This window comes from Homo sapiens, chromosome 10, assembly GCF_000001405.40.
Source record: "Homo sapiens chromosome 10, GRCh38.p14 Primary Assembly".
NCBI lineage: Eukaryota > Metazoa > Chordata > Mammalia > Primates > Hominidae > Homo > Homo sapiens.
Window position 1 is genome coordinate 117,138,859 of NC_000010.11, and position 10,034 is coordinate 117,148,892.

The following is a 10,034-nucleotide window of genomic DNA, read 5'->3' on the forward strand; positions in this document are numbered from 1 at the left end:
AAAACCCTGCGCACCCTGCGGCAGAAGAAAGCAGTTGTCTGGGAGTGGGGGATGGGGGACAGAGCGGGGGGAGAAAGTTTTCCCAAAAAGTATCTCCCTTGCACTCTAAAAAAGCCAAGATTTTCCCCTAAACAACTCCTTCTTAACACACCTCGACGCAGACAGCCATCTTAAACTGCCACCTCTCTTCATTTAGTTCCAGTTGGATTTTTTCATGCCTGCACCTCCAGCAGCCCTGAGGCAGCCCATTCAAAGGGCAGCTTTGTACTCAGAGTCCAGCAGGAGAGAGAGGGGGAGAGGGAGAGACGGCCGAGAAATCTCAACTGTGAGATCTGCTTCAAAAAAAAAAAAAAAAAGTTTTCCCCTAGCTATTTCATTGTCTCTGCTACAATATCTTTGAGAAAAGCAACAGCCAGTAATCCAATAAGAGCATTGATTAGGCTACAATGATTCAATTCAAGCGCATGGCCTTGTGCAAGGAGCATGCTCCAGCCCTTCTCGTCACCTTGCCGGGGCAGAAGCCCTCTCCACGCCGCTCTCCCCATTCATTCCTTTATGGGAAATGCGGAGCAAAAGGAGTGAAAGATGGCAATTATCTAATTGGACTATTAACAAACAGTCCTCTGAGTGCGGCGGTCTGGCGTGGCTCCTGGGCGGGGGAAGGGCCGTGTTCCCTGCCCTCATTCACAAAGAGTGCAGGGGCCGGGGAGGAAAGGGGTTTTTTAAAGGGGGTGGGTGGGGGGAGAGGAGAGGTGGGAGGTTTGGCTGAGAATTTTTCCACACAATTCCAAGAATGGGGCGGAGGCGGGGGGAGGGGAGGGGGTTGGGGAGGGGGTCGCGGCGAGCGGGTGGGAGGAAGGCCGGGAGGGGGAGGGGTGCGAGTGTGTGTGGCGGGCCCCTAGGGGCTCCAGCTCGCAGCGACGCGCGCACCGTCCGCACCTCCCGCCCCGCCGCCACCTCCCCTGCCTCCGCCGCCACCCCGCGGGACCCCTCTACCGTCCCAAGCCAGGAGGGGGCCCCCTGAGCGGGGTCTTTCGCGCTGTCCACCCAGCCACCCCTCCAGCCACTTAGGGGCACCCAGGTTTGGCCCAGCTCCGGAGGGCATCTCTGGCCCTGCAGGCCGACATCAGGCTTCCACTTTAGTTGACTGGGCGGAGCGGTGGAACTGTCCCGAGCTACTCTCCGCAGGGCGGCGGGTTTCCAGGGTCCCCAGCGGGCTGATCGCCCCTCAGCCCGGCTTCGCTGCGCACGCTGCCCTCGAAGTCCGACGCCGACTGGGCGCCCGGGGAAAGTGCCTTTGATTACGAGCTCTGCTCCGGCGGGTTGGTGAGGCGGGTGGGAGCAGAGACGGGTAAGAGGGGTAAGGGACTTTGCGGCCACCCTGTTCTGAAGATGTAGAGTGGGATTGTGTTAAAATCCGGCGAACTCTCCTGTTACCTCCCGCAACGCTCAAAAGCCCAGACTGGCGCCTTGAGGCACCGAGGGCTTTGCTCCCATGCGGCCAAGCCGTCGGGGGTGCAGCCGCCGGGTCTTGACTCCCACTACCGCGTCGCGGGTGCGGGTCCCTGGGATTCGGGTCCTCCTGATGGGGGTCCCTGCAGCAGATGGGGCATTCACTTCCCTGCAGAGCTCGGCCCGAGGGAGCTCCTGGGCCTCCTTGGGCAGGGAGGGGTGCGACCGAATTCCCTGGCACACCGGCCCTTCCTTGCCCCCTACCCTGGAGGGGTTGGAGGGGTCGGACCCTCGGACTACGCGAGATCGGGTGCGCAGGAGGATTCTAGGCCTTCCTCAGCCCTTTAGGAGCCCTGCAGGCGGCGGAAGTCCCAAACCGCAGCCTTGGCCCAAATGGGACCCAGATGGCTCTGGGTCCCCGGCCCGGCCGCACCCCTCTGTACGGCCTCCTTCTGTCGGTGAAGGCCGCAGCGGCCTGGGAAACCCATGCGGACACCTGCGGCGCCCGGTCAAAGACCTGGAAGAAAGCTTTTTAAAAAATAAAAATGGCCCAACCCATTACATTTTCTTTTAGGTAGATGGGGGAGCTGGGGGGCGGGGCGGGGGCAGTCAGGGAACAAACAGCTGCCCTTAGAAATGACACGCCCTGTGGGCAATGGCGGCGCTGGGACGTCTGCAGCCGCATTCACTGCCACAGAGAACGGCCAAAGTATGGCCAAATCCCAAATGCAAATTTTAAGTTTGGCCTCGGAAATTTCTGCCCTCCCTCATCTTGTGGCATATTTTGTTGTAAGGGGGAACTATTTGTTTGTTTGTTTGTTGTTTGTCTGAGACGGAGTCTCACTCTGTCGCCAGGCTGGAGTGCAATGGCGCGATCTACGCTCACTACAACCTTCGCCTCCCGAGTTCAAGAGATTCTCCTGCCTCAGCCACCTGAGTAGCTGGGACTACAGGCGCGCGCCACCACGCCCAGCTAATTTTTGTGTTTTTATTGGAGACAGGGTTTCACCATGTTGGCCAGGATGGTCTCGATCTCTTGACCTCGTGATCCGCCCGCCTTGGCCTCCCAAAGTGCTGGGATTACAGACATGAGCCACAAAGCCCAGCCTGTTTGTTTGTTTTTTAAACTTACTTATTTTTGAGACAGGTTCTCGCTCTGTCGCCCAGGCTGGAGTGCAGTAGCACCATCACGGCTCACTGTAGCCTCGAATTCCCAGGCTCAAGCGATCCTCCCACCTCAACCTCCTGAGTAGCTGGGAGTACAGACGTGAGCCAACGTGTCCAGGGGAATTATTTATGAAGCAGTCACTTACTGGATGCATAAACTCACTTAATCTGAACTCCTCCTTCAGAGATGTAGTAATATTCCGGTTTTATAGGTGAAAGAATGGAGACTCAGAGAGACGTTCAGTAACTTGCCCAAGTCACACAGACTGGTATGAGCAGAATTTGAATTGACTTCTGCCTGACTTCAAAGCTATTTATGCTCTTCTTTGCCACACCCCACAAGACTGCCCCATTTTTAGTTCCAAACCCATACTTGCTTTGAATTTTCCAAATCTTCAGGTGATCATGTGTGTATCAAAAAGACACAGAGCAATGACTTTAATGTTAATGCGAGGAATCCTTATTATTAGACATCAATTTTCACAAATTTTATCTAAACAACAGTAAGTAGAAATGGAATCATGAAATTCTTGTTTCTGATGATGCTATTTATTTCTGGCCATGAGCATTTATTAGGAGTTTATCACTCATCTACTAGCTGATTGGGGGTGAGTAAAAAATCATTTCCTGGGTTTCAAACTTACAGAATGATCATCTGAGAGCAGTGTCCAGGAATTTGCATTTCTAGCTGGCTCACCAAAGGATCTTTCACAAATTGAGTTAGATAACTTCACCTTTTAAACTTCGGTGACTCTGCTAAGCTTCCTGCGGGCAGGGACTTCCATCCCTCCCTCCTTACTGGACATGAAAATGCTTATTGAGGAAAGGCATAAAATGGGATATTCTGGCTGGGCACAGTGGCTCATGCCTATAATCCCAGCACTTTGGGAGGCTGACGTGGGCCGATCGTTAGGAGTTCGAGACCAGGCTGGTCAACATGGCAAAACCCCCGTCTCTACTAAAAATGTAAAGATTAGCCAAGCATGGTGGCACGCACCTGTAATCCCAGCTACTCGGGAGCCTGAGGCAGGAGAATCGCTTGAACCTTGAAGGTGGAGGTTGCTGTGAGCTGAGATCATACCACTGCACTCCAGCCTGAGTGACAGAGCAAGACTCCATCAGAAGAAAAAGAAGAAGAAGGAGGAGGAGGAGGACGAGGAGAGGGGGAGGGGGAGGGGGAGGAGAAAATGGGATATTCTGGGAAAACAACGAATTTAATTAAGCAGACATTTACCAAGAGTTTGGAGGTGCCAGGACCCAGGTAGCCCCTAAGGCATACAGGGCCTCATCTCTGCATCATCATAGACAAACCCAGTAATTAAGAGAACTCACTGGCTTTAGGTTAGTCATGGCTTCAGGTTGGCAGCACAAATGAAATAACCAAATTAAAAAAGAAAGTCAACTCTTAACTTGGTTTTGCTTTTTGTTATACATGGTACTTTTTTCTTTTTTTCTACTCCCTTTCTTCCTTCCTTCCTTTCTTTTTCATTTCTTTTTTCTTTCTTTCTTTCTTTCTGTGTGTGTGCGTGTGTGTGTGTGTCTGGATTAAAATTCTGTGGGCATCCATCCAGAAAAACCATGACAGGTTTCTGAGAGGACACAGTGGAGGACGGAAGCCCTGGGATGGAAATTTCAGAAAAGCAGCTGCTAGTCCCAGAAAAAAACTAAAGCTGTGTGCTCACTGGCAAAGAAAGAAGAGAACTCAGTCAATTATTTGGATAATCTGAGACAAGCCTGTACTGCACAACACACACAAGGACACAAGGCTGCACCAGGTGAAAGTGTTTTATTCTCTTGACTAAATTTGCCGCCCTCCCCAGTGCCCTTCCTGCCCCCACATCACTGTCTGCAGGTGCAGACAGACCCAGAATAGAACTGTAGCACTGGAAGGATTTTTAGAGATCATCTATTCCATAACCTTCATTTGACTTGACAGATGAGAAAAATGAGCCCAGAAAGACAAAGCAACTTGTTAAGGATTAGACAACTAGTTAGTGGGGGCCTCTGTGCTACATTCCTGGTCTCCTGACTCAAAGCTACATTCCCACCTCCACCCAGGCTTCTTGAAACCCGAACAAGATGCACTGTCTGGGGTTGGGTGAAATGATGCCATCAAAATGAGCTAAATCACAATCTGAGCTTTGGGGATGCTTTTCATATTCCCTGCCCCCGCCTACTTGCTTCCAGTCACAGAAAGCAGGATCCGAGGTGGCACAGAGTGCTTTCCTTTTCCATCTTCACTTTTTATTTCAGAAAGAAGTAGGAGGGGACAACTTGCAGGCAGAAAAAAAATCTGAGATTATCCTAGATTATGAGCGGTTTAGGGACAGCATAACTTAATGTCTGAGACACCATTTTAAGAAGGACTGCATCAGAAGAGATGATACAATCAGAAATTAAGTTTCTGTAACAATGAATCAGGGTACCTGATAACAATAATTAATTAAAGGGAAGAACACTTAGCATTTATACAGAGACTTTCATCTCTAATCAAAGTTGCCAGTGGTGATGAATTCAATCTCATTGAATTATCACTATTCCCATTTCACAGAAAATAGTCGGGATATTGGGGAAGCACTTGAAATAAGAACCAATGTTGACTATCCAAAGTGGAAAATGCAGCCATATATCCAGATATTTCTTACCAATTATAGCTAGAGTATTAGCCAATGTGTAGACAGCTAAATTCTGAATTATTCTGTCTACAAGTCAAGCAAAAAATCCCATTGGCCTCCATTTCTCAACTTAGCATTTTGTACCAAGAAACTATTTCATCGATTACATATACATTTTGTACTTGGAAACATCATACAATTTTAGAGTTAAAAGGAACCCCATTAATTCTATAGGCTCACTTATTCAACAAATCATACAAACATGGGTTTTGGAGTTAGTCAGGATTCCTGATTTATAGATCCATACCCCAGGTCCCTTACCTGTTAGGCATGTGGCTTTAGCAGGTCAGTTTCCTTCCCTGTGCCTCATTAGTCTATCTGCAGAATAAGGTTAGCTTTGATACTGTAGGGTTGTTATGTAACAAAAGTGCTTAAAACAGTGCTCGACACACAGTGAACACTGTCAATAAATATTTGCTATTAGAGTCTTTATTTGAGCATCTCTTATGGAGCCATAGAACCCGGGTGCATTGTGTTAAATAGAACCAGAGATACCAAGAAGGAACTAAGAGTCAACCAAGGTAACTGATTGGTCCAGGTACTCCATGGCAAAGCTTGATTGGCTTCATACTTATTCAATACTGTAAAACAGTAATGAACAGCTTGTGCTTATTAAGGACTTACTGACTAGCATTATCTCATTTACTTCTCATAACAGCACTTTGAGAAAAGAAGAATTATGTATACCCATTGTGTTGAATTAAAAATAGCTGTAAATCTTTTGCCATACTTCCCATCAAGAGGTAGAGTCTATTCCCTTTTGCTGAATTAGGTGGAGCTTTGTGACATGCTATAATCAATAAAATGAAGTGGAAGTTGTGCTTGTTCTGTCTGGGGCTAGGCTTTAAAGAGGTCTGGTAGTTTTTGTTCTTGCTCTCTCATAGAACCGAGCTGCTATGCTGTAAGGAAGGCAGTCTAGACTGTGAGAGGAAAAGAGGCTACATAAAAACTGAAGCACCCCGGCTGACAGCACCAACTTCCATTCATGTGAATGAGATCATCTTTGATGTTCCATTTCCAGCTGAATTCAGCCTTATGAGGGTTCGTGATAATACCATGTGAGGCACGGATGAACCACCCATGCTGAGCCCTGTCCAAATAGAATCTGGAGAAAACATAAGGTGGTTTTGTTTTAAGCTACTAAGCTTTGGGTAGGTTTGTTATACAGCAATAGGTAACTGAAACATCCATATTGTGAATGAGAAACTGAGGCTCAGAAAGGCTAAGCAACTTGTCCATGGTCAGGAGCTAGGAAGTGAGACAACCTAGATTCAAACCCAGGACCATCTGACACCAAAAGCCATGATCATAACCAGCGAACTACACAGTGCCTCCTATGGAATAACCAAATTCTGAAGAATAATTCACAAATTAAATTTTTGTTCTTTCCTTATTTCAGACATTACCTAATGTAGGCTGAACTAATAAAAATCATAACATGTCAGTCTTAAAACCATAAAGAATAAAAATGTTAGAGTTAGAAATGAAGGGTCGGGCATGGTGGCTCAAGCCTATAATCCCAGCACTTTGGGAGGCCAAGGTGGGAGGATCACCTGAGGTCAAGAGTTCGAGACCAGCCTGGCCAACATGCTGAAACCCCTGTCCCTACTAAAAATACAAAAAAAAAAAAAAAAAAATAGCTGGGCATGGTGGTTCATGCCTGTAATCCCAGCTACCTGGGAGATTGAGGCAGGAGAACCGCTTGAGCTGGGAGGCAGAGGTTGCAGTGAGCCAAGATCGAGCCATTACACTCCAGCCTGGGGAACACGAGCGAAACTTCATCTCAAAAAAAAGAGAAAGAGAAAGAGAGAGAGAGAAAGGAAGGAGGGAGGGAGGGAAGGGGAGAGAGAGAGAGGAAAGAAAGAAAGAAAGAAAGAAAGAAAGAAAGAAAGAAAGAAAGAAAGAAAGAAAGAAAGAAAGAAAGAAAGAGAAAGAAAGGAAGGAAGGAAGGAAGGAAGAAAGAGGCAAAAGTGATCTCTGCCAAGATCTCACCTCTTGAAATTGAAAGGAGGCATCTCACTGGAAGGTGGGTACAGACCTCTAAATTTTCTTTCTGTTTTTCAAAAACAAAGATGAAAATGAACACGTTCTGCTCTCACCTTTAGGAAACCAGAGATACATTAACACTTAGGGTGGTGAATGGAAATTGACAACAGGTGGTTGGTTGTCTCTTTGAAATTCTCCAGATGAAGCATTCTGGGAGAAAAAAAAAAAGGTTGATTTTATTACAACATTTTCTGGGTCACAAAGAATTTGAGGTTTTCTAGGAAACCTGACTTATAAATGTGTATCTTTCTAACAGGAGTACATTTGTGTTTCAAAGCGTCTTTAAACCCATCATTTTCTAAAATTTCTTACTGCATGAAAAGCTGCTGGAGCCATTTATTCAACAAGCAGGTAGTGACACCTACTCCATGCAAGTCTCTAAGAACTCCCTGTATCAAAATCATGAAGTATTTTTATTTCAGTGTGTAGGAATGCTTGCTCAGAAGTCACTTATTTTATAAACCTCACCCCATCCAGAAGAGAGCCCCAACTGGAAAAGGAAGAAGACAGTGCCACTGAGCAGTTAAAATCGGCATATCACAGAGTCTGTACATTTCAACTTGAGTTCTTTGCTCATAGGGGACCTTCTCAGTCCCTCATTCAAAGTCTATTCATGTTTATTTTTATTTTGTTTTTGAGACAGAGGTTTCGCTCTTGTTGCTTAGGCTGGAGTGCAGTGGCTCACTGAAACCTCTGCCTCTCGGGTTCAAGAGATTCTCCTGCCCCAGTTTCCCAAGTGGCTGGGATTGCAGGAACACACCACCACACCCAGCTAATTTTTTTTTTTTTTTTTTTTTTTGAGACAGAGTCTCACTCTGTCCCCAGGCTGGAGTGCAGTGGCATGATCTTGGCTCACTGCAACCTCCACTTCCTGTGTTCAAGTGATTCTCCTGCCTCAGCCTCCCAAGTAGCTGGGATTACAGGCACCTGCCACCACGTCCAGCTAATTTTTATGTTTTTAGTAGAGACCAGGTTTCACTTTGTTGGCCAGGCTGGTCTTGAACTCCCAACCTCAGGTGATTCACCTGCCTCGGCCTCCCAAAATGCTGGGATTACAGGCATGAGCCACTGTGCCTAGTCTATTCATGTTTATTTTTGACCTAATTCTAACCAGTATAATTCTCCCATTTCCCAGCCTGCAGTAGATTAGCGGCAACAAATGGGAAGGGAGAGTTGTGTTTGGAGCAGGAACACTGAAGACAGTAAGAATATCCACCAACAGCAAGTTTTGGAGAGGGATAAAAAAAAAAACAACTGACTCAAAAAAGCATCAGGTTCTGGGGTCACTTTGGTTGGATACAAGTAACTGCAACCTCAAGTGCTCTTGAGGGCATGAATGCAGTAGAATGCAGTGTGGCAGTGGATATTCAGGAAGTGACCCTTAAAAGATTACATTGCATTTCGTTTAAGAAGGCAGAGAAGCACATAACTCATTTCAGAGGTAACATAAAACAAACTCAGAAAAATTATGTATGTGACACCTTATTCCTTTACAGTAAAGGAGAAGTCACTGCAATTTTATAGTCGATTGTTGTACCACTGAGCTCTATCCCCCAACACCGTAATTTTGAAGAGCAGAACTATACCCATGTGAAAACAATGCAAGCAACATGGACTTTCCTTGGTTCACTACTTAAAGCTGTCCAAGGTGAGATGTTTGATGAAGGAATACAGAACTGAGCATGAGCATATTTTCATCCCCAGGTATTTTGTGTTGGCTCCCCTGAAACACAGGTAAAGGGATGAAAAGCAGAGATGAAATGACCCATCCAAGATCTCTCAGCAAAACCATCAGCCCAGACAAGAAAAGAAGACCCAGAGGGAGGGGAATACCTGGTACATGGTGGGCACTCGCTAATATTTACAAAAGGGGGGAAGAAAACAGAAAGACTATTAGCTATTTGTGAGAAAGCATTTGTTCTAAGAGTTTGCCAAGACTCTCAGCTGTAACAGAAGCAGAGACCTGTGGTCACAGGGTCACAGATGGCTGTAAGTGGCTCTGGAACCCGATGTGATCCAAATGAAAGAAACAGTCTCCAAGGAATGAAGCAATGGTGGGAACACCCCCATCTCCCTACAATGAGCAAGGAGGGATGGCATTTAGGAACAGGAGATGTTAATATAAAGTGTGTTGAGTAACTTCTAAATACTACTACTTAGTTCTCCTGTGGCACTTTCCCACTTCAAAAGCGCTTTACAAACATTAACTAATTAAATCAGCATGACTTCTGGAAGGGAAAATTGAGCCTCTTTAATCTGTTTGAATTCTCAGAAAAAGCTAATAAAATTAAGGTATAATGTTCATGAAAAGGAGTACACAGAACCATAAACAGCTTTTGTAAGGGATTAAATATCGAAGTGTGGTGGTGGCATTTGATGAGCTCAGAAGCTATTTATGGCGATGTTATGTGACTGCTCCAACATCAACCACTGAAGACTGAGTTGCAAATACCATGCAGGCTCTCTGGAAGGAGCCTGTGGCTGGCTGTGGTCACCTGTCATAAGGTGTTTTTTTGTTTGTTTGTTTGTTTGTTTCTGGGCAGGACCCTGAGCCCTGGGCTGATGGAAGCAGGAAGGAGGAGGACATCTGCCTCGTGGGCCAACCAAGCTCTATTCACCATTTTTACAGAAGGAGTCAGCTAAAGAGGTGCAGGGGTCAGACACCTTCCCAGTGCCCTGCCTACCAGAGCTCAG

General features: G+C 46.5%; 2 annotated features.

The window, feature by feature from the left end:
- Positions 995–1,581: an enhancer, noted in NCBI's record as "H3K27ac-H3K4me1 hESC enhancer chr10:118899364-118899950 (GRCh37/hg19 assembly coordinates)". NCBI's record gives its function as "activates a minimal SCP1, AML or CMV promoter by ChIP-STARR-seq in naive H9 embryonic stem cells {active_cell/tissue: H9 hESC(naive)}" and the evidence as "EXISTENCE:reporter gene assay evidence [ECO:0000049][PMID:30033119]".
- Positions 1,582–2,167: an enhancer, noted in NCBI's record as "H3K27ac-H3K4me1 hESC enhancer chr10:118899951-118900536 (GRCh37/hg19 assembly coordinates)". NCBI's record gives its function as "activates a minimal SCP1, AML or CMV promoter by ChIP-STARR-seq in naive H9 embryonic stem cells {active_cell/tissue: H9 hESC(naive)}" and the evidence as "EXISTENCE:reporter gene assay evidence [ECO:0000049][PMID:30033119]".